Source organism: Homo sapiens, chromosome 18, assembly GCF_000001405.40.
Source record: "Homo sapiens chromosome 18, GRCh38.p14 Primary Assembly".
In the NCBI taxonomy this organism is placed as follows: Eukaryota; Metazoa; Chordata; class Mammalia; order Primates; family Hominidae; genus Homo; species Homo sapiens.
In genome coordinates this window covers 59,688,185-59,714,076 of record NC_000018.10, presented here as the reverse complement: position 1 = coordinate 59,714,076, position 25,892 = coordinate 59,688,185, and the positions used below count along the sequence as shown (strand labels likewise).

Below are 25,892 nucleotides of genomic sequence, written 5' to 3'. Positions count from 1 at the left end.
GACTGGCAGGCAGCTCCACCTGCAGCCCCGGTGCGGGATCCACTAGGTGAAGCCAGCTGGGCTCCTGAGTCTGGTGGGGACGTGGAGAGTCTTTATGTCTAGCTCAGGGATTGTAAACACACCAATCAGCACCCTGTGTTTAGCTCAAGGTTCGTGAGTGCACCAATTGACACTCTGTATCTAGCTGCTCTGGTGGGGCCTCAGAGAACCTTTATGTCTAGCTCAGGGATTGTAAATCCACCAATCGGCACTCTGTATCTAGCTCAAGGCTTGTAAACACGCCAATCAGCACCCTATGTTTAGCTCAAGGTTTGTGAGTGCACCAATCAACACTCTGTATCTAGCTGCTCTGGTGGGGCCTTGGAGAAACTTTATGTCTAGCTCAGGGATTGTAAATGCACCAGTCGGTACCCTGTCAAAACAGGCCACTCGGCTCTACCAATCAGCAGGATGTGGGTGGGGCCAGATAAGAGAATAAAAGCAAGCTGCCCAAGCCAGCATTGGCAACCTGCTCATGTCCCCTTCCACACTGTGGAAGCTTTGTTCTTTCGCTCTTTGCAATAAATCTTGCTACTGCTCGCTCTTTGGGTCCACGCTGCTTTTATGAACTGTAACACTCACCACGAAGATCTGCAGCTTCACTCCTGAGCCCAGCGAGACCACGAGCCCACCGGGAGGAATGAACAACTCCAGATGCGCTCCCTTAAGAGCTGTAACACTCACCGCGAAGGTCTGCAGCTTCACTCCTGAGCCAGCAAGACCACGAACCCACCAGAAGGAAGAAACTCCGAACACATTTGAACACCAGAAGGGACAGACTCCAGACGCGCCACCTTAAGAGCTGTAACACTCACCGCGAGGGTCCGCGGCTTCATTCTTGAAGTTAGTGAGACCAAGAACCCACCAATTCCGGACACAATTTCACTAAGCTACATGTGTGTCCAACTGGGTCGCTTCACTTCACAATTCATTCATCCGCAAAAGAGCGATCTTGGACACAAAGATCGACTGGAATGAAACCGATGGTTGGTAGCCTCAGACTTCTCGGTCCTTGCTGTGCTGCATCCTCTCCATGGAAGGTAGTACACCACTCATTCACTCATTCATTCAAGAGAGATGGCCTGAAACCATCAATCAACAAGCTCTGCCCTAGAGACTTAAAAAAAAAATGAGTAAGTTTTCTGGCTCTTTCCTCTCCTTGCTCTACCAACACCTGCTCCCAGATCCTTGTGCCTTAACAAGCCAAAGATGACAGATAATGGCTTAAAAAGAAACTCCTCTTACGACAACTTGGTTTGATTGGAAATGACACCCGTTTATAGCCATACCACCTTGAACGTGCCTGATCTCATCTGGAAATGACACTTGATAGCGAATTTCCAGGAAAAAGACACCAGATAGGAGGCGTCCTGAAGGCCCTGTGGCCTTTTAATAGATTTTCTTCACTGCTCAAGAAGTCCTCCCTATCAAATCGTCTCCCTGATGCCATCTGGAGTGGCTGACAGCTCCCGCACCCCACCATCCCCTGTGATGGGGAAATAAACCGCAAAACCTTTTACAAGTGTGAATCATCGTGCACCTGCCCATTCAATCTTCTTTCATGTAATTTGGAAAATAACTCTTTTCATGTAGAGCTCTTAAAAACACCTGGAAATATTGGAAGCATAATAAGGCCAAGCCCCTACCCCCCACACCACCCTTAGGTACTACAGTCCTAATCATAACCAGAAGAATAAACACAATTGGATATCTGTCATGTGCTGGGTCCATGCTAAGTGCTTTCAGTACATCAAGTCATTTGATTCTCCACAAGCAATGAAGATAGATATGGCTATTATTCCTGTTTTTGTGATGCAGAAACAGAGGCTGAGAGATGAGGTAAAGTGATTTTCTGGCTCTTCCTGACTCTAGAATTTGAGTTCTGACCCATCACGTTATTAGCTGCTACCACTAGCAACTAATTCCTAGGTGAAGTCAGAGTCCTTTTTAAATCTTGACAATAATTGGAGTCTCATGAAAGAATTAGAACCATGCAATTCGATTTTCAACTCTATATTTGATAGTGAATGACAGAATACCAGTCTGATTTGCACCAGAAGTATAAATCAAATTGCACTTCTTCTTCTTCTTTTTTTTTTTTTTTGAGACGGAGTCTCTATCTGTCACCCAGGCTGGAGTGCAGTGGTGCTATCTAGGCTCACCGCAACCTCTGCCTCCCGGGTTCAAGCAATTCTCCTGCCTCAGCCTCTTGAGTAGCTGGGATTACAGGTGTGCGCCACCACACCTGGCTAATTTTTTTTGGTATTTTTAGTAGAGACAGGTTTCACCATATTGGCCAGGCTCGTCTCAAACTCCTGACCTTGTGATCCGCCCACCTCAGCCTCCCAAAGCAAATTGCACTTCTGTTAGTTAAGGTTTCAGCTTGGGTGCAAGGCAGACACCAGGACCTTGGGAAGTCTGAATCACAAATGTACTGTGTGACTCTGACTGCTCTGAGTCTCAGCACCTTCACCTGTAGGGTGGGGTGCCCTGACTCAGTAATTCATACTTATTTCAGTGGACTCCTTTACTCATGAAGTCTTATCTAAGCCTTCAGGTGGAAACCAGAAGACCCATTATCTTTAACGGGTTGTTCTGCTGTAACATATGATGACGCTGTCACCCCAACAAAATGTTCAGGGAACACCTTCTGAGTACTTTGCTTTGATTTTTTTTTTTTTTTTTTTTTTGAGACAGAGTCTCGCTCTGTCATCAGACTGGAGTTGCAGTGGTGCGATCTCGGCTCACTGCAACCTCCACCTCCTGGGTTCAAGCGATTCGCCTGCCCAAGCCTCCCGAGTAGCTGGGATTACAGGCGTACGCCATCACGCCCAGCTAATTTTTGAATTTTTAGTAGAGACAGGGTTTCACCATGCTGGCCAGGATGGTCTCGATCTCCTGACCTCCTGATCCGCCCGCCTCTGCCTCCCAAAGTGCTGGGATTACAGGCATGAACCACCATGCCTAGCCTGCTTTAATGTTTTATAGCTCCTGTTTTCTAAGACAGTGCAAAGCGTTCATTCATCCATTCATTTATGCTGCAAATAGTTAAGGAACGACTGATACAAAGTATTTGAAAGGTGTCAGAATTTAGGATATCAGATGGATAGAGACTGATTTTTTAAAAATCTCTTGAAGGGTTTCGTAACTTCATTATTGTTCTGTAATATAGGAGGAGAACAAATGGGTATTCTGAAAAAAACAAAAACCCGGAGCTGGAAGCCAGGAGGTCCAAACTCTAGCTCTGTATGCACCAACATACAGACATAATCTTTCTGGGTGTCAGTGTCCTCATTTGTAAATTTACAATAACAGGGCCCGCTCTTTTAAACACGTGTAGGAACTCATGGAGAGTGTCCCTAGGAATCACACTCAGAAAATTTGGACCACCCAGACATGGCCCAAAGGGTTTTGTTACTGGGAAGCAGTAATTAGAGGAGATGGAGATGAGGCTGGGCTCCAAGACTTCAATTAAGTGACAAGAGAAAGTGGTCTCCGCATAGCTTGGAATCCTGGGTTGTGCACCCAAGGAAGGGATGCACTGGGTGGCTGGCAGGAGAGACCAAAGCTGGGGCTGAGAGATTGTGAGGAGGGCAATTGTTTTACTATAGCAGGGGTTGGGGGAACTTATAGGGTACAGTCACTCCTCACATTGTCTCCCAGATCCCACCCTGAGGGAATGTGCATCAGATTCCTTTTTTTTCTTTTTTTGGGACAGGGTCTCACTCTGTGGTCGAGACTGAAGTGCAGTGGTGCAGTCTTGGCTTACTACAACTTCCACATCCCAGGCTCAATTGATCCTCCCGCCTCAGCTTCCCTGTAGCTAGGACTACAGGTGTGCACCACCATGCTCAGCTAACTTTTTAATATTTTGTAGAGACAAGGTCTCACCATGTTGCACGAGCTGGTCTCTAACTCATGGGCTCAAGCGAACTTCCCACCTGGACCTCCACAAGTGTTGAGATCGCAGGAGTGAGCCACTGGGCTGGCTGGCTGATTCTTAATAACTGAAAGAGCGAGTCAGGTTGCGAAAGCTGCACCAGGTTGGAGAAGGAGCTTCCGGGCCACCCTGCTTCATCTGTATGGAGTGCTGGTGAGGAGATGCTGCTGTGCCCCAGGGATCTGAAATTCTACACACCTAAAAAAAACTTGCCTTTCCCACCATCCATACAATCATGGGACTGGGGGCTTCCCTGGACCCTCCCTCTCTCCTGGACTGCCTCCCAGCCACCAGGTCCTGCCAACGGTCCCTCACAGAGCTCCTTTCTATCCCTCCCTGCTCCTCCATGCCAGCACAATTCCAGCCCATGTCACTTCTAGTCCAGCCTGTTCTCCTCCAGTTTCAACCCCTCAGTTTGTTTTCCTCCTAAGCCTCTAGACCAGCACTGTCCAAAAGAAATCTAATGTGAGCCACATATGCAATTTTACGTTTGCCAGTGATGACCACATTGACTAATGAATAAGGTATCTGACTTGGGATCAGAAGACTCAGTGTGCCAGTGGCCTCGTTTAGAAAGTAAAAAGGAACAGGTGAATGGAAAACATTTAATAAATTTTAACCCAATATACCCAAATTATTAATACACAAAATTTTAATGAGATATTTTTATGTTTTTTCATACTAAGTTTTTGAAATCTTGTTGCATATACACTTACCGCACATCTCAAATTTGGACTGGCCACGTTTCATATGCTCACTTGCCACAGGTTGCTGGTGGCCCGGACTGGACAGTGCAGGTGTAAATGCAACCTCATCACTTGAGAACTTTCCAAATTCTTTTAGTTCCATGCCCCACCCCCACCCCAAGATAAGCTTCAGTTTCACCTCTGCCTTTCTTTGCAACATCAGGTTTGACCCTTCCCCCAATACCACACACTGCATTCCCACCATACCAAACTTCTGGTGGTTCTCAGTCTGTGGCAGACTCGCTATCGCCCCAGAACCTTTTGTATACCCTATTCTTCCGCCTCCATTTGGGCACACCTCCTCTTTGAAGCCACCCCCCTACCCTAACCTAACTTAAGGCACATAGCGGGCGAAATAATAACCTTTAAAGCTGTATGCATCAAAATCCCCAGAACCTGTGGGTGTGTTACCTTACACGGCAAAGGATCTTCAGATGGGAACATCCCTGGGTTATGTAGGTAGGCTCAAAGGAATCAAAAGAGGCCCTATAAGAAGAAGGAAGGTGGGCCGGGCGCTGTGGCTCACGCCTGTAATCCCAGCACTTTGGGAGGCCAAGGCGGGAGGATCACGAGGTCAGGAGATCTACACCATCCTGGCTAACACGGTGAAACCCCGTCTCTACTAAAAACACAAAAAATTAGCCGGGCGTGGTGGCGGGCGCCTGTAGTCCCAGCTACTCTGGAGGCTGAGGCAGGAGAATGGTGTGAATCCGAGAGGCGGAGCTTGCAGTGAGCCGAGATCGCGCCACTGCACTCCAGCCTGGGCGACAGAGCGAGACTCTGTCTCAAAAAAAAAAAAAAAAAAAAAAAAAAAAAAAAAAAAAAAGAAGAAAGGCGGGTCAGAGTCAGGGAAGGAGAAAGGATGAAGGAAGCAGGAAAAGAGAGATTGGAAGACGCTGCACCACTGGCTTTGAAAATGGAGCGTAGGGTCAGGAGCCAAGGAATGCAGGCAGCCTCCAGAAGCTAGAAAAATCAAGCAAACAATTCTCTTCTAGAGCCCGTAGAAGGAACACAACCCTGCCCAGCACCTTGATTTTAGCCCACTGAGACTGATTTTGGACTTCTGACCTTTAGAACTGTAATAAACTTGCATTGTTTTAAGCCACTAGGCTTTGGTACTTGTTACAGCAGCCTATGGAAACGAATACAAGCACTTTTTCCTTTGAACTCCTATAACTGCTTACCTCCAGCATGCAGCACTGATTTTTGTGTGCTTAGGTTTTCTTGCTTGTCTGTCCACCACACTTGGAGCTCCTTGGAGACAGTTTTTCTCTCATTTACTTTATTTGTGCCTGGGAAGTCAGGACCCCAAATGTCTGTTTTGTTTTGTTTTTTTCCTTTTTTTTTTTTTTTTTTTGAGACAGGGTCTCCCTCTGTTGCCCAGGCTGGAGTGCAGAGGTGTGATCTCACCTCACTGAAACCTCCAACCTCCCAGGCTCAAGCGATCCTCCAACTTCAGTCTCCTGTGTAGCTGGGACTACAGGCGCACACCACCATGCTTGGCTAATTTTTGCATTTTTTGGTAGAGATGGGGTTTCTCTATGTTGCCCAGGCTGGTCTCAAGCTCTTGGACTCAACTAATCTACTTGTCTCGTCCTCCCAAAGTGCTGGGATCATAGACATGAGCCATTGTGCTCGGCCTCTCATTTACTTTAATTTCTCCTACACCCAGCATTGCCCAGCATATAGTAAATGCTCCTTTAAAAAAAAGAATGAATGAAGGTAGTGGAAGGTATTTCTTCTCTGTCTTACAGTGACAGAAGAGCCTCCTGTAAGCCACACCCATGCTGGCAACACTCAAGCATTCACATAACGAAGAAGCCAGGAGCAGTTTCTGTGGCCAGCAGCAGGGGAGTGGAAGGAGGCATTGCAGGAAGAAGCAAGAAGGGCCCCGCAGAGGGCTGCTGTGGCTGCACCTGTCAGGCAGATGTGATATACTCCAGAAACTTTGAAACCAGAAGCATGGAGCTTAAGCTTTAAGGACTGCATGGAGCCAGGTGCAGTGGCTCACACCTGCAATCCCAGCACTTTAGGAGGCTGAGGTGGGAGGATTGCTTGAGCCCAGGAGTTCGAGACCAGCTTGGGCAACATAGACCTGGTGTCCACAAAAAATATTTTTAAAAAAATTAGCTGGGCATGGTGGTGTGCACCTGTAGTCCCAACTAGTTAGGAGGCTGAGGCAGGAGGATTGCCTGAGCCCAGGAACTTGAGGCTACAGTAAACTATGATTGCGCCACTGCACATCAGTCTGGGCACAGAGTGAGATGCTGTTTCAGGAAAACAAAACAAAACAAAGCAAAAACAACAATAACAACAACAACACTGCACTGGATTTGTGAAAAACTGGAAAATAAACAGAATTCTAAGAAAATTATTTTTGTAGCTCCTCAGGTCACTCCAGGGCAGCTGATTGATAAAGTAGCTGCTACACTAAGTCTCAGGGGTGAGATCAGGGCAAGTGTGAAGGTGTAAGGACTGTTCAGTCAAGAAGGATCCGGTGGCAAGGAAGAGCAATAACAAGTGAATGGGAACACACTAAAGCCCCGGCCTGGGGAAAGAAAGGATTAAGCAACTGCGATTTGGAACCAGGAGAGAAAACACTCCCATTGAGAGGTGGATAGACATCTGTGTAGCCTGGGACTTCTGAGGCTTGGCTCTATTGACATCTTGAGCCAGCCAGTTCCTTGTTGTGTCACCGTGGGGGGAGGGGCCACCCTGTGCACTGTAGGATGTTCATTAGCTTCCAGGCCTCTACCCACTGGATGCTAGCAAGTAAAGTCACTACCCCCACCCCCAGTCGTCATAACTAAAAATCTCTCCAGACATTGCCAAATCTCCACTGGGTACCAAGATTGCCCCTCAGTTGAGAACCAATGATTCAGAGGAAGAAATAGGATTGGGGAAGGAGTAGGGATACACTTTAAGGAAGAGCAGTGTAGCTAACAGAAAATAGCAGAGAATAGATCATAAAGCCAGAGGAAAGAGAAAGCTGGTAGGTAAAAGTCTCACCATAGAAGGAGTGACAGCAAAAATGATTGATGGAAGAGGGAACAGAAAGGAAGACAAGCAAAAAGCAGAAAGTAGAGAAAAAGACCTGAAAGGAAGTCTGGGACGACTGTCCAGGGAGTGACGCCAGCCTGAGAGGGAATCGACCTCAAAGCAGGTCAATCCGAGGGTTTAATGACAGGTAACTGACACACAGGGTCAGGGCCCATTAGGCCCATTAGCCTTCTATCAGGACGTAAAGATGTGAGAGCCAGATACATGTCAAATTGCATATACACACATCACTTCCAGGTTTATTATAATAATACTCCAGATAAATGTTGGAACTGAAAGAAGCTTCGATAAGTCTCAACTCGCTTTCTAATTATCATGACGCTCATCAGAGGTTTCAAACCAAATAAACATCACTGAAAGATAGGTTCAGGTTTAAACATCACTAATCAAGCAGAAAGATGGTCAACAATTACCCTGATCTACCACAAACAAAAAGGGATGCAAAACAATTAAGTGAAACTAAACCAAGTCAGCTCATTTTATCTGGCGTTCCTTTGGGATCCTGCATTGCTGGTAAAGATTAGGACCAAAGAATGCAAAACCATGCTGATCTTAAACCATTCACTGCAGACAAGTCAACAACCTCCAAGAGTTGTGTTTGTGTGTTGTTGGGATGTGTGAGGGGAGGAACAGAGAGATCAATGCAAAGATCTTCCAACCATCTGGAGCAAAACCTGGTTGCAACTGCTTGCCCTTTTCTATTCACAATTAGAAGTAGGTTCCACAGGACTATGCTGTACTCTGAAGTTTTTAAAACATTTTGCCTAGGTATTTCCTTGTGGTGATTGCAGAAATGCTCTCTGTGAGTAGTCTTCATAATCTCCTAGTTTTGTGAGAGTTCTAGGTCTGATAAAAACCTGTTTCTGGGCCGGAGATAGAACTGGAAGGACAGTTTGCAAAAGTGCCAGAACTCCACAAGTTGTGAAACCTCATCTCATTCTTCTCATGCCAGCATTCCCATGTAAATCAGTGATTGTTTGCCTCTAGGAAGACAGGTCCAATGGATATAGCTCAGCTTTGCTGCAGAGAGCTCTGGGGCTAATATACAGAGGTGGGAACTTATGGGGCCAGCTGGTTAACAGAACTGCAGAAAGAAGATTGTGCCTGAGCACTAACTCAGGCAATGTCAGGGTTACTGGTTATGGTGGTGGACCATGGGCCTTCCCTGGTTTGCATTATGTCCCTGGGCAAACATACTGGATGCAGTCTATCTCTTAGGCAAAAACTACCTAGCTGCTTACTTCTCCAAAGGACAGTTTAGTGTAGTGATGACAGCGTGAGCTCTGGTGCCGAAACTGCCCTTATAACTGTACCTTAGGGATCTAATAAAATCACTGCCTCAGTTTCCATATCTTTATTTTTATTTGCCTTTTCTTGAGATGGAGTCTTGCTCTGTTGCCCAGGCTGGAGTGCAGTGGTGTGATCTTGGCTCACTGCAACCTCTGCCTCCCGGGTTCAAGCAATTCTCCTGTTTCAGCCTCCTAAGTAGCTGAGACTACAGGCATGCCCACCACACCCAACTAGTTTTTGTATTTTTAGTAGAGATGGGGTTTCACCACTTTGGCCAGGCTGGTCTCGAACTCCTGACCTCAAGTGATCTGTTCAGCCTCGGCCTCCCAAAGTGCTGGGATTACAGGTGTGAGCCACTGCGCCCCACCAGTTTCCACATCTTTAAAATGCAGACAATAATAGAATCAGTGACAGAAGATTTTGATAAGGCTTAAATGTGATAATACCTGAATAGTGCTTAGAATAATGTCTACATGTACCAAATGGTCAATAAATATTTGTTATTCTTTATTTGTTGTTCCAAATTCTTGGAAAATTATCATCATCCATTAAAAGCTTATAGGAATATAGCTTTCTTGGCATTATATCATGAACAGGCCTCTATTATTTTTGTTGTTTGTTTTCTTAATTGTTCTGTTGCTCAGGCTGGAGTGCAGTGGCATGATCATGACTCACTGCAGCCTCAGATTCTCAGGCTCAAGCGATCTTCCCACCTCAGCCTCCTGAACAGATGGAACTACAGGTGTGCACTACCACACCCAGCTAATATTATTATTATTGTAGAAACAGATTCTATGTTGCTCAGGCTGGTCTTGAACTTCTGGGCTCATGCAATCCTCCTGCCTCATCCTCCCAAAGTATTGGGATTACAGGTGTGAGTAACTGTGCCCACTGCCTCAGAAAATAGAGCCACAGGCCTCTATTTTCTTTCTTTCTTTTTTTTTTTTTTTTGGAGACGGAGTTTGACTCTGTCATCCAGGCTGGAATGCATCTGCATGATCTTGGCTCACTGCAACCTCTGCCTCCCGGGTTCAAGCAATTCTCCTGCCTCAGCCTCCCGAGTAGCTGGGACTACAGGTGCATGCCGCCATGCCCAGCTAATTTTTTATATTTTATTAGAGACAGTGTTTCACCATGTTGCCCAGGCTGGTCTTGAACTCCTGAGCTCAGGCAATCTGCCTGCCTCAGCCTCCCAAAGTGCTAGGATTACAGGCGTGAGCCACTGTGCCTGGCCCACAGGCCTCTATTTTCATTAAGAAATGCATTCCACATTCTATTAGAATCTTTAACGACTTAAAAAAAAACTAACAACTTTTAAAACCTGAACTCTGAGATTTTTCTACACAGTATGGACTGCTGTTTCCTTTAAACACAGCTGCTCTTCAAGGAGATTGTGGACTCCTTAGGCTGGGGCCCCTTACACTGTTGCAAACTTTCCCGATGTCACCCAGTAAGAAAAGCTCAACAGAACATGATGTCACTAGTGGATAGATTTGAAGAGAGTTATTTTTGCCTCTCTAGAATTGATCAGGCTAGGCGCCGTAGTTCACGTGTGTAATCCTAGCACTTTGGGAAGCTGAGGTGGGAGGATCGCTTGATCTCAGGAGTTGGAGGCTGTAGTGAGCTATGATTGCACCACTGTACTCCAGCCTGGGTAACAGAGCCAGATCTTGTCTCTAAAATAAATAAATGAAAAATAGAATTGATCACAGCTGGGTTTTAACTAGGTAGCCTCTCAAACATTTAAACAATGAGGTAAAAGTAGGACAGACAGTAATCAGAAGCACAGCTCTTCTCTAAAGGAAGTATATGCATTCTATTTTCTAGCAACCATTATTGGGTGATTTGATTTAGAGACTCAGTCACCCCCTAATGTCTGATTTAAGCACAATGTTAATGACACCAATGTCAATTCTGCTATTTATTTTAGGCTGTTCTATGACATGGTGTCCTATCCTTAGCTATCAATTTCACAAAGTTATCTTTCATGGAAAGCAAATAAGATGAGACAGGGTGGATGGTCCAGCATAACTACATCCCAATTATTGAAGATAAAAACTAAAATAATCTTAGGTATCATTTATTACCTCTGATGTGATGGGCTTGTTATAGATCCTATTTACTCTTTTCATCAGTTCTATGAGATGGATATTGTCATTCTGTTTTATCTGTGGATAAACTGAGTCCCAGGAAGATGAAGCAAATGTTTCAGGGTCATAGTGGTATTAGGTGGTAGAACTGAATTTCAAACCAAAGTAAAACTTACTTTTAAGTCTAGTTTTTTCCCAACTCCCAGTGCTATTTCTCTAAGTCCAGTTTTTAAAAGAGGAAAGTAAGGTCAACCTCATATCCAGAGGAAAAAAAAAAAGTTTTAAATTAGCATCCTCTGCTGGCATGGGTAGTAGAATTATTTTTATTCCACCATAAAAGATATCTTGGCTCAAATCAAAACACTTTCCAAGTCAGCATTATTACCTGTCAAATTGGTTTGATACCATATTACTGAGTGAATATCTCCCAGTTCTTAATAAACATTAAGTAACTCTTACCCTTGCCGAGTTAAGGGAGATAAACAGGGTTTGCTCTTCAAAAATAAAACGAGATGTTGCTAGCATTGGAATGACAGACACTCAAAGGAGTCAGCTCATAAGTCCTCGGGAGATTCAAATCCATTTTCTAGAACAGGGACTTCACAGCATGAGCCAGTGGCCCCACATCTGCTGCTGGCCCCTTGTCCTTCCTTTGTTCATGCTCATGGGGACAAGAGATGGGTCAGAGCAGCTGCAGCTCCTGCCATCGCTATTTGTTGCAAAGGGAGCTGCAGAATTGAGTGGTGTTAGAACACGCTTCTCCACCCCAAATCCCAGGTTTGATCCTATAGCTCTTGATTGGTCAAGGAGACTGCCAACTCATATTGCCTCAACAGATACTGATTTGGGGGAAAACCTAGACTGGGCCCCTGTGTGTTACAACTTTCCAGACCAAATAAGACATCCAAATCACATGGATAATTTTTCTTGATATTTTTGGAGATAATCATGTAGCTAGAAGGTTCTCTTTTTTCTATTTGTACATTTTTGAGTGGCCTACCCAAGTATAAAGCTAACTAATCTATGAAAATGGCTTTTATTTCAAAATTGGGCAAAAATGGTGTGATTCTGTCATGGACACAGGAATCAGACATTTCTTCCTGCCTTGGGAGAAAATTCCAGAGACCAACAGCTTCAATCAACTTTCAGAATTTGTGCAAGTTAAAACTAAGACAGGCTTAGTGAAAAGGTAATATACACGCCCAAAAACCAGGGCTTTAACATCCATTTACTGTTTTAAAAACTTTTTTTTTTATTCTTCTTGCCTCAAACAGTCCCCCACAATGGTTTGGAGACTGGCACACTTTCACACCTTCCAAGATGTAACCCTAATTCTCTAAGCAGACCTGCCTATATACGTCAATCAAAACTGAAACTGAAGGAAAGGTATCAGGGCAATTCTTTGTTTTAGGGATATCTTATCGTATGCCTATCACTCACAGTACAATATGAACTTTACCCACACTTGTTGAGCTTTGTTTCACCTTACCTTACAGTTAGGTGACTGTTGCTATATTTCAGGGAGACCGGGGGAACAAACTGTCATTTTTTCCAAGCAATTTATAGGCTTTTCTTTTATGGTTACCTTGAATCTCATGACTGATCATGTAATTATCCTGAGTTGACTTCTGAGAATTTGAGAACCGACTTGTGATCTGCTTGAAACGTGGCCCAGGACTTTCTGCTTATACAGCCCTGCCAATTAACATAACATCAGCTTTATTTTACTGTTTGATCCTGATTTTTCCTTTGCCTTAATTTCTTTGTCTAATTTTGCCCTATACTACATACACTTTGTGTACATATGTACACACACACACACACACACACACAATAGTTTATTTTTTGTCAGCCACCACAAATCCTTTTTATAGGAAAATCTTTAAATGGTGAAATGAATTGTCCCAGTTGGTGGTGGTCTGTTCTTTATATTCTGATTTTCTTCAAATAAGATGTTGGAGTCCCTTAAAACTGAGAAGAGACAACTGATTTTATTTAGAAGCATATTCTCTGCCCTGTGTCCTGGTGTTTACTTTTCTTTTTTCCTTTCACTTTACTTTTGTACGCAGCCGTCTCTCTATTCTCCAGCCAGTCACCCCACCCCCAGGCAACATGCAGCAGTACTACTTAACAATACCTGGTCTACCAGGGATTCTAACCTATAACATAGTATGCACTAGAAAGCCCCAGACACAGCCCCACATCCCCAGGACACAGTAAATTGTATAACTATCTGCTCTCTGGTTTGTTTCAGGGAAACTGACAGATCTTTATGAAAAACTTTGCAGAGAGTGGTATGCTGAAAAGAAATAATCACATAATCACACACGGCCTCCCCCAAGGAGCATTTAGGGCCCTATCATTAATCTTTGTAACACTCCTATGAAAGAGGTGGATGGCATGTTCTCTCAGGCCAGTGTTTCATAGGTGAGGGGACAGGGCAGGCCTGGGCTTGCACATGGTCTAGAAGGGAGGAAAGAAAACTCAGCACCCTTGAGGCTCCCACCAGTCAGCCCCAGCACTGACATCTCCCATGCAGCCCGCAGCCTGGGCAATGCAGATTTTGTCTTTTACAGGAGTATTTAGCTTTTTGGGGGCAGGTATCCATATATGGCCATCCATAGCTCTTTCCGGCTTGGCAGTGCTCCCCGGACAAGCAACTCCTCACTGCACCCCATGCTGTCAGTAGCTGGCAGTAGGTTGAAATTACAGGCCTCTAGGCAAAGGTTTTTCAGAAGGTTTCGGCTCCAGATCACCTCTTACAGAAATGTATGAAATGCTCTGACCACCCACCGTTGGGATTTCCTCCCTGTGCAAACCTGAGCTGTTTGCTGGGCCCCAGCAACTTCTCTAACCCCTTATTCTCATAGGCACTCAGCACCAGGAGCTGAAAATAAAAAGGTGGCAAAGTCAGCTCTGATGCCAATCTTCTGCCACACAGCTGTGTATAATGGTTTTGCTGTTATCATTTTGCAGCCTGAATCACTTTCCCTGAAATGCTGCAGGTCTGCACTTGTGGCCTAGTAACTATTTAATGAAACTGATAATTAATCTCCTATACCACGCTCTGTTACTTGTAGAACTAACGTCCACAATGCAACAGTAGAAGAATAAAATGCGTAAAGATGAGAAAAAAGACAGCAAGTTGTCAAGATACAGTAATTGGTAAGGAATTAAAAATAGAACCTCCTACCAGATTACAAGATGGCCTCTCCCTTCCAAGATGGATATCAAACACTTTTTTGTCACAATCTGAAGAGATACAATTATCATAAGCCCCAGAAGGGGTTTCTTCCTCATGTGCTTAGTGAGGTCTGTCTTTAGGAACCCAAACAACTGTTATAAAGTGGATTCCTATATATCTAGGAAGTGAAAAGCTAGAAGGCTAGAAGGCAAAAACTTAAAGTTCTGTGCAATACAATAATTACGTTACAAGTAATAATGTTTACAGGGCACTCAACATATGCCAGGCATGATAAACAAAATGCTATAGAAGCATTGCTTCATTTAATACTCATAAAAATTGATGAGAGATATTTCCCCATTTTACAGATGAGAAAACAGAGTGTCAGAAGTAAATTGCTTCAGATCACTCCTCCAGGAAACCAAACAGCCTGAGTTTGAATCCAGTTTTTTCTGACCTCATGGTTTTTTTTTTCTGACCTCATGATGATCACTCTCCAGTTTTGCAACATCCTGAAATGTCTTCTGAATTATCAAATAAAAATTAACTCATTTGTGTTAAGTAGCAGTGTCATATTTTAATATCAAGTGGGTGGTCTTCCGAATATGTAAGTTTTGTAAAATAAGCCAACAAAAAACACACCTCACAGAACTAAGAAATCAGATGCTCAGATTGAAGGGATATTGTGGGAACCAAATAAAATCTTGAATATGAAAAATCTTAGGAAAAGACATAGCATTCTACGGAAGAATGACAATGTCATTGCTATCAAAAATATCAGTGTGGGCTGGCTGCTATGGCTCACGCCTGTAATCCCAGCACTTTGGGAGGCCGAGTTGGGCAGATCACTTGAGGCCAGGAGTTTAAGAGCAGCCTGGCCAACATGGTGAAACTCTGTCTCTACTAAAAATACAAAAATTAGCCGGGTGTGGAAGCATGCATCTGTAATCCCTGCTACTTGGGGTGCTGAGGCAGAAGAATCTCTTGAACCCGGCAGGCGGAGGTTGCAGTGAGCCAAGATCGAGACACTGCACTCCAGCCTGGGCGACAGAGTGAGACTCCGTCTCAAAAAAAAAAAAAAGTCAATGTGTATGTGATATGTGTGGTAATTCTCAGTTGACCAGCATATTCTGTATATCAAAATATGTGCTTACCTAACCAATTTACACACCGGTCACTTGTGAACAAGCCACCTTTTTACCTCGTTGTCCTGTGAGATGCAGAACCACGCATATTTTAGAGCTTAGGCATTAGAACTTTTCCTTTTTCAACTTATTTCTGGGCCACATCCACGTCCCCAGTTTCTCTGGAAAAGGCTGAGAAAACTCCTAAAGCGCAACAAAGTGTTAAGTTGCTGACACACGAATTACAATTAGGGTCACCGTCAAGGGAGCCGATTTACGGCCCCCCTCCTCCGTTTTCTTGTTACCTATCAACGCGGCTGCATACACTAGCAGGTAGCAGCACCTGTAATTAATTTGCCCCCACGTGTCTCATTTGATGGGGGGGGGCGTTTCCAGCTCTGATGTGCGCGGCGTGGAAACAGTATTAAAGCCGCTCAGGACAAGGAGATGTAAGGCTCCCAGAAAGACCTCCTTACTTGTTCCGAACTCGAGTTATGAAGAAGACAGCGCATGGTTTATTGACCAATGAAACAACCAGAGAACTTTCTTCTAAAGGTTTTAAGGAAGAGTGATTACACTATATAAATAGCGCTATTTCAGGTTTGAACAATTTGAGAGGCCCGTTGTAGCCTTTCAACTCCTCCTTCCTCACATAATCTAAGAGAAAAGAAGACTAAGATAGTTGCAAATCTCAGGGTAGGTCCTCACGGAGGAAAGACGAACACTGGCCTGACCCTGGGCTTTAGAAACCCATGGACAACAGGAAGGAAGCTTATTAACCCCTCTCTTCCCCCTCCCTCTTCTCCCCGGTGGAGAATCAGCTCCTCCTCCTCCCGGTCGTGAGACCCTGGTGCAAAATGCAAACAACCGCCCGCTTTCCCCACCCTGCGCGCTTCTCCCAGAGGAGGGAGAGGGAAGAGGCGAGGGCGCAGCCCCAAGCCGAGTCCAGCAAGTCTGTCAATCGGACGTGAACGTCCCGACGAGACAACTTGAACCTCAGGGCCCTCGCGCCAGCCGGACACCGCAGGTACCCCCTTTACCTGCTTCTCTGCTGGGTTTGCATCCGATACCCCAACTCCTAGCCTCATTTTCCCCCCAGCCCCATAATATTCCGGACCCCTGCTCCCCGTGCAGGTGGTGCAAACGCCCCTGCTCTCCGGCGCCCCCTGCCGGGAAGAGGGAAGGCGGCGGCGGCCGCGGAGGAGCAGGACGCTTGGTCCGGACGGAGCTCGGCGCTGGGAAGAAGCCGGGAGCTTCCCTGATGGTGCCGCCGCCTCCGAGCCGGGGAGGAGCTGCCAGGGGCCAGCTGGGCAGGAGCCTGGGTCCGCTGCTGCTGCTCCTGGCGTTGGGACACACGTGGACCTACAGAGAGGAGCCGGAGGACGGCGACAGGTAAGCGCTGCAAGCCCCAGCGGAGGGCGAGCTCCTGCTTGATGCGCGCCCGGCTCGCGGGGTGCGGGCGGTCCTCCCCGGCGCCCACTCCCACAGCGATCCGCACGCCCTCACTTCTCCGGGGATAAGGAGAGTGCTCAGCTGTCCTGGGCGACACTTCCCTCCGCTCCCGGGTATCAGCCTTTGCGCCCTGCCATCCGTGGGTCGCGTCAGGGATACCCTTCGCCCCGCGTTCCTGCCTCCCCCCGGGTGCCACACTGGCTGGCACAGCTCGTGAACCCCGCTTCCTTTCTCCTGGAGCTGGTTCGCTTCGTCGTGACCCTCGCGTGGCTCGTCCCTGTGGCCGGAGTCTGCCCCGCGTACGCGTTTGGGGACCAGCCCCTGCCCAGAGCGCCGGGACGGGGAGCCTGGCGATCCCCACGCGCCAGGGATTCCCCAGCGCGCGCTGCCCGCCTCCGCTCTCCCGCTGAGAATCGAACATTTCCTCTGCACTTTTTCATAGAGAAATCTGCTCAGAGAGCAAAATCGCGACGACTAAATACCCGTGTCTGAAGTCTTCAGGCGAGCTCACCACATGCTACAGGTAAGCCTGGGGGCTCTGCGGGCTGTTCGCCACTGCGCACCGGGGCTGGCTGGGGAGGCGGCGCTGTAAAGGAGGGGTTTGGAGACGCGCTTGGGACCGGAGCAGCTTTTACGCTGGAACCTGCTGGGTGCGTGCCGCGCGGTGCGAATCTTTGAGGGTTGGTTGGATCGGAGTCAGAGCAACACTGAGCAACTGACTTTGCGTCTAGGGTGTGTGCCCTGAGATCCTGAGGATGGTTGCCGCTCCCTGAAATACTTGTGTGGAAGTCTGTGAAGGAGATTGGATTGGATTTTGGGTGTAAACAGTGGGGCATAGCAAACACGGGTGGCTGCTTTCGTATTTGTGTTTTGTTTTGAAAGTACAGCGTCAACAAGGCAATTCTTGGCACTTGTCTGTCTTCTGACCTTCTGTTGGGGCAGAGTGTGGCTGTCACGGCCTCTGGACAAAAAAGTAGGGGGAGGATTGTGAGTGGTTGTGTTGAGTGAAAACAAAAAGATTGTTGGGGCAGAGGAAAAAAGTCTTTCTAAAAATGTGGGCCACAGATTCACCTGGGTATTTGTTAAATGAGTGACCCGGGTGCTTGTTAAAACTAAGCGTGGATGGGGCTAGGGAATCGGTAGTTATAAAATGTTCCCCAGGTGGTTCTTGTCTCTGAAAGGAGAGAACCACTGTTCTGCTTGCAGCCTTTTGGAGATGAGGGTTGATTTAGGTTTTTCACCATTGAATTCTTGGTTCTGTTCCAGTGCTCTCACTGGATAGGGGAACATGCACCCATAAACGTTTATTGGATATCTGCGTTTTAGAGGCGCTGTACAAGGTAATGTGATCATATGCCCACACCTGACTGTCTCTGGAGACTCACATGCTCTGTTCGGGTTGCCAGGATAAATACTGAGTAGTACAAGGTAACGCAGCAGTCCCTAGAAACGAACTTGAAAGAAAACAATGTTTTATTCCTTATAAGGTTGTAGCCTGTGAATCAATCATAGCGTTTCTTGCAGGTGAGAGCATTTCATATACCCAAAGGTTCAGACCAAGTGGTTCCACGGCTGTCAGTTTATGGGTGCAAAAGCACCATCAGTTACATCGCGTACTTCTGCTCTTAAATCTGTTGTTGGCAGTGAAGGGACAATAATCAGGCAAATCAAGTCACTCCTTGGGCTTAGGAAAGGCTCCTTTCTCTTGGCGTGTGCGGGGGGTGAATGCTGAACAAAATGAGAGAGGTAGTAGAGGAGAAAGGAGTATGTTCAATTGGCAGGTTAAGACTTAAAGAGGCTAACTGGGTGAGCAAGGTCACCGAGCTGGTGAAGTGACCTGGTGGTGCTGGCAGCAGGATTGCTTGCCTGGTTCCAGCCGTGTCTTTCATCCACACGACCACAGTGTTTCTTAGGACACATTGTTTTCCTATCAGCACAGTATAAAGCCTCGAATTTAACATGGGAAATGTCTCTGAGATGGTTTGCTCATTTTTTCAGTCCCTGAAGGTCGGACTTCACATAAATCAGTGACAGTTACAGAATGCATGTTAGATTTTCAGAAACCATTTGGTGCCTGATTGTTTGTTAATGCCATTACTGTCATCTTTTCCAGACTTCTTAAAGCAGTGTGGTGTTTCTTTTATACTCTTTGAACAGGAGACACTAGCAGCACCTTGGCATGTGTTTTCACTAATAGCTACTCAAATTGCTATGAGATCTCGCAAAAATGACATTTTATATCAAGGAGAATAAAGAACTTTGTTTAAAGGAATGGGAAACGATGCTTTCAGCTTGAAAGTGGTGTTGATCCTTGTGTATATGAAAAGATCTTAGATTTTGTTTTTAGATCTATTTTCTCTATGGAAGTCGAGAGTTCTCTGTATTCCGTTGGTCTTATCCTGTTTCTATAATCTACTCTTCTTGAATCCCAAGAATAGAGGATATTATTTTCCTTAGTTTGTGACTTGATTGTCCTAGCCCTTTATACCCTCACTACCTCAAGTATCATCTGGAAACCAGCCGCACAGCATGATTTTGGGAGCTTGTTGGAATCCTGGGCCTCTGCCCCCAGATCTCTTAAATCAGAATCTGTCTTAATGAGAGATGCATAAAATCTTGAAGCACTGCTGTAAGAAACCAGTGTCCTCATCCCCAGGACGCATGCAGACCTATTTAGACAGATCCTTAAAGGAGCATGGAGGCCTTTCAGTTGACCAAACAGTTAGCTCTCCTACCTCACTAAACTAAAGGTTAAACTAAAGTGAGATAAAGAACCAGCATTCCAGGAAGCCAGTCTTTAAAGGTTACTTTGAATTGAGCTGTAAGTAATACAGCATTACTGATGATGGAATGTTCTTTGACTGTATAGAATTCTCTTTACCAGGTGGCTGTTGGTGAATGGTTTTCAGCACAAGTGAAGGAACTCTGGAAGCCACTTCTGAACTTGAAGTGTGTTTAAAAATGACTTTAAAAAAGTTACTAGGCCGGGTGCGGTGGCTCATGCCTGTAATCCCAGCACTTTGGGAGGCGGAGGTGGGTGGGTCATGAGGTCAAGAGATCGAGACCATTCTGGCCAACATGATAAAACCCCGTCTCTACTAAAAATACAAAAATTAGCATGGTGTGGTGGCACACACCTGTAGTACCATCTACTTGGGAGGCTGAGGCAGGAGAATAGTTTGAAACCAGGAGGCGGAGGTTGCAGTGAGCTGAGATCTCGCCACTGCATTCCAGTCTGGTGACAGAGCAAGACTCTGTCTCAAAAAAAAAAAAAAAAAAAAAAAAAAGGCTTTCCTTTAACAAGAAATATTCTCGTGTGTAGGAAACACTAATAAAACAATTTTCACTGAGGCTGTGGAATAAACATCCTAATCAACCCTTGACTTCTTAATTAAGAATCTATTGTGCATCTATTACGAGCTCAGAAAAGTCCTAGAAAATGTTTGAGTATAAAACGATAAAATACAATCTCTGGTCTCAGTTTGCAGACTTGATTTTATATCCAGGACTTTGAAACTGTGAGCAATAAGCAATGGTGTATGATTGAGTTCAAAGTCATGTAGTTCATATGCTGTATTAGTGATGGGGAAGAGAGACAAGCAGCTAGAAATGGCTTTTGGGCAAAAGAAGATTTAACCATGTTCTTCAAAGTGGTTCTTTTTTTCCCCCTTTTTTAAAGTGTTCACTTTTTGTCAACTGGTCTCAAGTTGGTGTACAGTTAAGCCCTGGCTGCCTCCACCCACTCTCAGGGAGACCAAAAGCCTTCACACATCTCAAGTTGGGGGACAAAAAAGGGGGACCATGAAAGCTGGTCACAAATGAAACAAAGTTTTAAGGAGAAGATTTAAAAAATTTTGCATTACATAATTTACATGAAAGCAATGCTAATGCTATCACCTCCCCTGTGTGGACTCCAGAGAGGACTGAGCCATTCTTCTTAGAAGTAGGGTGGCATTTAGGAGGGCAAGGGACTTCCTGCAACAATGCATCTCGCAATATTTGGAATGATTATTTAAAAAAAAGAACAATGTACAGTCAAAGTCCTTGGCCACATTGTAGAGCTTTAGGGTATGCTCGCTCCAACTGACTGCCATCACCTTCACCACAGAAAACAAGATGAGATAGGTTTGGCTTTGCGTTTTTTGTTTGTGTGTGTGTGTGTGTGTGTGTGTGTGTGTGTGTGTGTGTGTGTGTGCTTTGGCTTGACAAAGTGGTTCTTTTAACTGTGTGTTAAATGCTTTTTAAAAACTCGCTGTGATTTTGGCTTTGGGGTTCATGGAACTCCACGTGGAGGCTAAGTGGTAGGGATGCCCCAGGTGCCTCTCTGCCCTGCCGGTATTCATCTGTCCAGCCCGTGCTGTCTCATGAGGCAGTGTTCTTGCTTAGGGCAGCTCAATGTTCCCATGGGAAATAGTGACATGGGGGATGTAAAACACCCACTTTTCTTTGAGATAATACAACTGTGTTGCCAAGTCTTGTGAGAATGTGAAAATTAATGTGATGTTTTTGCAAATGTGTTTACTTGGAGTGCTTTGAAGAGCAAGGTCCTTTTAATTAGAATAGTACTACCAGATTGATAGCATTGGGCTCTAGGTAAGGACACATTTGAGGAAAGACTGTATAATGCACTTCTCTGGCAAGTCACCAAGTTCCCATGGCGGGGGAGTGGGCTTCGATAATGTCAAAACACATATAAAATAATATAAACTCTTTGCTCCAGTGTGAATCCCAGCTCTACTACTTGGTGGTTTTGTGACCTTGAGCAGTTTTAATATCTGTGCTTTAATTTTCTCATCTGTAAAATGAGCATCCAATTGGTACTTAAACTATAGGGCTGCTGTGAGGATTGTGCCTTAATACATGTAAAATGCTTTGAAAAATTCACGACACATAGGAAGTGCTATGTTAGTAATACCTCCCATCGTCATCACTACATCTTGCCAAGTCTGCATGTTGAATGTTTTAGATGCTCAATGGATGTTTGTTGAATTTTGTGAGTCGTATGAACTTCATCTTTTTGAAAGAGCAATTTGAGACCACAGCCAGAAACATCACTCGTTTGCAGATGCTATTTTCAAATGTAGGAGAGCCCAGAAACCTAGTGCCCTGGGGAAATTAGAGTATCTTTGTTTCCTGCTACCTCCCTGACTAACAAGCTACTCTACTCATGACCATAAGAGCCAGTGGAAGGCATAGCCTGAACTAGAACTTGAAGTTACACCACTTTCATCCCTTCCCCAGGATTATGAAGGGTCTTACTGGCAGAAGGAAGACTAGAAATCAGATCCTTAGCCCCAGGCCCATTCTGATTTCTCTCTCCTCTGCTTGTTTCCCTGTCCTGTGGCTGGCATAGCTGAGGCCGGGTACTGAGGGCAGCTCTGTGAAGACTTGGCTCATTCAGGGCATGTAGTTCAGGGAGGAAACAAAATGAAAGTTGTGAAGAACTCTAGCTGGGCGCGGTGGCTCACGCCTGTAATCCCAGCACTTTGGGAGGCCAAGGCAGGCAGATCACGAGGTCAGGAGTTTGAGACCAGCCTGGCCAACATGGTGAAACCCCGTCTCTACTAAAAGTACAAAAATTAGCTGGGCATGGTGGCACACGCCTATAGTCTCAGCTATTCAGGAGGCTGAGGCAGGAGAGTCACTTGAACCTGGGAGGCGGAGGTTGTGGTGAGCCAAGATCACGCCACTGCACTCCAGCCTGGGCAACAGAGCGAGACTCCATCTAACAAAAACAAACAAACAAACAAAAAATCTTGTGAAGAAGAGAGCAGGGGCTAGTTGGAGGTGGTTTTGTGCAGAATGACCTGAATGACACACCTTGCATGCTGAAGGCAGCTTCTCCTCTCCTGTGTTAGGCCATCTCTAGCATGGGCTGTCAACCCTCTGAGAGCATGAGCCATCTGTCCTCATTCATGACTATATCCTCAGAGGCTAGCTCCATGCCTGGACAGAGAGGTTGTTCAATACATATTTGCTGAATGACAGAATGACTATGTTAAAAGTAAACAATAAGATTTAACTGAAATCTGTTAGGTCTTCAGGAACTTCTCTTGCTATCCAAATGTGCTTTATTTAAAATCTGAGCTAGGAAGACTCTTCTAAAAACCAGAGATTAACTGGACCTCTGAGAAGCTGCCATTATTTTCATTGGTTCCAAGTTAGATCCGCTTAACTTTAATTGCTAATGTGTAACAGGTGCTAGATTCTGGCAGCTATAGCTAACTCCTTGAACTTGCCATCTTAAATAACACCTGAAGAGGACATGTGGGTTCCTGCCTGTGTGTTTAATTGTGCCACAGACACTGGCTTTGGAGTAGAGGATCAAGGTTTTAAAGGGGGTCCCCCGCCTTCCCACAAGAACAGGTGTTCGAGGGAGGGAAGGTTCTGTATCACTTCTCACTCACTCTCAGAGAAACAATACGGAGTAATTGGAAACAATTTTAACTCAGTAACCACAAAAGGCTGCTCTTTCACTGGTGTGTCCTTTGAGATCAGATCCAGTTGCTACTCTGGTTGCTGCCCAACTTCCTATGGTTAACTTCATCCTTTGTAAGTGAAGCTGGGGTGGGTGCACCCGGAAAAGCCAAATGCCTCTTTCTTGATTCTAGATATTCTATCTTCTCAGGAGAAGGCTTGCATTTCAATCAGCAGCTTTCCCAAACCCTGCTGTTCTCCTGCTCAGCAGGACCGGAGCTCCTTTTGTGAGTTTAGAGGGTCTGCTGGCATTTAAGGCATTGTTGAGTATCTAGAGAACAAAGATCACATTCTGTTTTAGATTATTGCTTTTATTTGCGGGATGAAAAAGTAAACAGCTATAACATCTGCAGTTCCTCTTCTGCCAAGTGAGGTCCTTTTTTTCTGCGAAGCTATTGACTCATTTTAAATAGTGTTTTAATTAGCTATTGACTAATTTTAATCTTATGAACAAGCTTCATTTACTTAGTCAACGAATACTTGTTGGGTACTTACAATCTGCCAGGCACTGTTCTAGACATTTAGAATATATCTGAAAATTGGACAAACCCCCAACAACAACAAAAATCCTCTGTCCTCAAGGAATTTTAATTCCCTTTATCTTTCAGTAAAGGAATTTTGACCCAAAGATTTCCTTTGGGACCTTTTTAAGATACTTGTTTTGGACATACATTTGATTAATGTCACACTTTGGAGGTTAAGATCTTAATTGCCGGTAGCCCAGCTGTGTCCTTTCAGCAACAGAAATCCCACAGCTTCAAGCAGAGTCAGGAAAACCCAGGGATGGTGGTAACAGAAGGTTTTCTGCAGAGGCGCTAGCAAGAACTTAGCATGTACCGCAAGTTTCTTCCAAGAATTATTGCAATGTGAAAGCATTACAAAGAGGAGGTGTTATTTTCTCATGTGACCTGTGATGTGGATAGCAGCATCAGAGTTGCCCCACTAGGGACAAATACCCCAAGCCCAGTTCACCTAGGCCAGCATCATGTTTTCCGACAGTGACTGTAAGCAGAGTTTTAAAGAAGGCATGCCCCTCCAACATTGCTTGACTCTCCACATAATGCATTATAGATCTGTCATCATATAAGTATGTGACACTTCTTGAACAGTTAGTTTCCAGCTTGAAACACCTGTAGAGAATGGGGTGGTAGTGATGCCTACACACTTAATCCTCATTAAGCAAAATGTCGCATCTTTCTAGCTTTAAGGTATGATCCATGTGTGCCAAGAGCCAATGTGAAAGCTTGGATGAATATGTTGCCACCTTATTGGTTGTGGTAGAACTAGTTCATCTTACCATGACCTTGAGGACTTCAGAAACTGGGACCACATCCGTTCTAGACCTTTCCTTCTTGGCCACTCCTGTGGGACATTCTATTTGCCTCATCTGGAGTGAAGCTTCTCATCCTTGGCCCTCTGGGAATGACAGGGACGGATGTCAGCCCCGTGGGCTGTCCCACAGGAGGCTATGTAAACAGAACTGGTGGGAGATACAGGGGGGCTCTCAACAGGTAGCGTCTAATCCTGGGAGTTTGGTAGAGAGCAGGGATTGGCAAACTAGGGCCCATGGCTTGTTCTTGTACTACTAATAGTTTGAGTAGTTTTTGTCTTGAAAGCATTGCAAAAGAACACACAGAATCCCAATTTGGCCCCCAAAGTCCCAGATATTTACTGCCTAGCCCCTTACAAAAGAAAACTTGACTCCTGTAGATCCACTTTAATACAAACACCAGGATTGGGGCTTTCCATCTATAACACCTCATCCACATGTCTGAATTCTCAAGGTGACCTTGGGACGGTCACTTACTCATCTTCATCTTTGGGTCACTTACCTGTGTATCACCTTATTTATATTACAGTGTTTGGATTTCTTGGCCAAGCATCTTTAGTTGTCACTTGGTTTTCTGATCTCCAGGAATCATAGTTTTTGTTGAGCTGGAACTTCTTTCAAGTCATCATTCCTAAGTGATACTCGAAATGAGCATAATCTGCCAGTTTCTAAGAAGCTGACTTTATTGCAAGGAGTTGATTGAGCACTCACTTCCTGCTGCCTTTCTATGGCTTTCCATGACAAGCCTTCCTGTGCCAATAGAATAACCCTTGAGTGTTACCTTGGTTTGCTACCTTACCTCATTGATTTGCATATCAATTATCACACGCTTTGTAGGCTGAAAGCCACCTCTCCATACATTTCAACATGTTAGGGTTTGTTTTTTGTTTTTGTTTTTTGAGACATGGTCTCACTCTGTTGCCTAGACTGCAGTACAGTGGTGCAATCATATCTCACTGCAGCCTCAATCTCCCAGGCTGAAGCTATCCTCCTGCTTCATCCTCCTGAGTAGCTGGGACTACATGAGCCCACCACCATGCCTGACTAATTTAATTTTTTGTAGAGATGGATTCTTGCTACGTTGTCCAGGCTGGTCTTGAACTCCTCAGCCTCCTAAAGTGTTGGGATTATAGGCATGAGCCACCGCACCTAGCCGAAAT

The 25,892-nt window shown here is 45.2% G+C and overlaps 1 protein-coding gene and 1 pseudogene across 6 annotated transcripts in view, besides 1 other annotated feature; both read left to right on the top strand.

Moving 5' to 3' along the window:
* Window positions 7,305-7,488: a silencer, noted in NCBI's record as "fragment chr18:57373821-57374004 (GRCh37/hg19 assembly coordinates)". NCBI's record gives its function as "represses an EF-1alpha promoter that drives an FKBP-Casp9 reporter gene in an ReSE screen in HepG2 liver carcinoma cells {active_cell/tissue: HepG2}" and the evidence as "EXISTENCE:reporter gene assay evidence [ECO:0000049][PMID:32094911]".
* Window positions 16,356-25,892, top strand: part of CCBE1 (collagen and calcium binding EGF domains 1) — a 266,783-nt gene continuing 257,246 nt past the window's right edge. For 2 of the 6 annotated variants that reach the window (XM_024451091.2, XM_017025557.2), the window contains exons 1-3: window positions 16,356-16,500; window positions 16,608-16,865; window positions 17,368-17,448. In XM_024451091.2, the coding sequence (XP_024306859.1) occupies window positions 16,735-16,865; window positions 17,368-17,448 (212 nt within the window). In that variant the 5' untranslated portion in view covers window positions 16,356-16,500; window positions 16,608-16,734. Of the gene's footprint in view, window positions 16,501-16,572; window positions 16,866-17,367; window positions 17,449-25,892 lie in introns of those variants that run through there. The other 4 variants (XM_047437302.1, XM_047437301.1, NM_133459.4 and 1 more) reach the window with 2 other exon arrangements.
* Window positions 20,604-21,031, top strand: ACTBP3 (ACTB pseudogene 3; annotated as a pseudogene).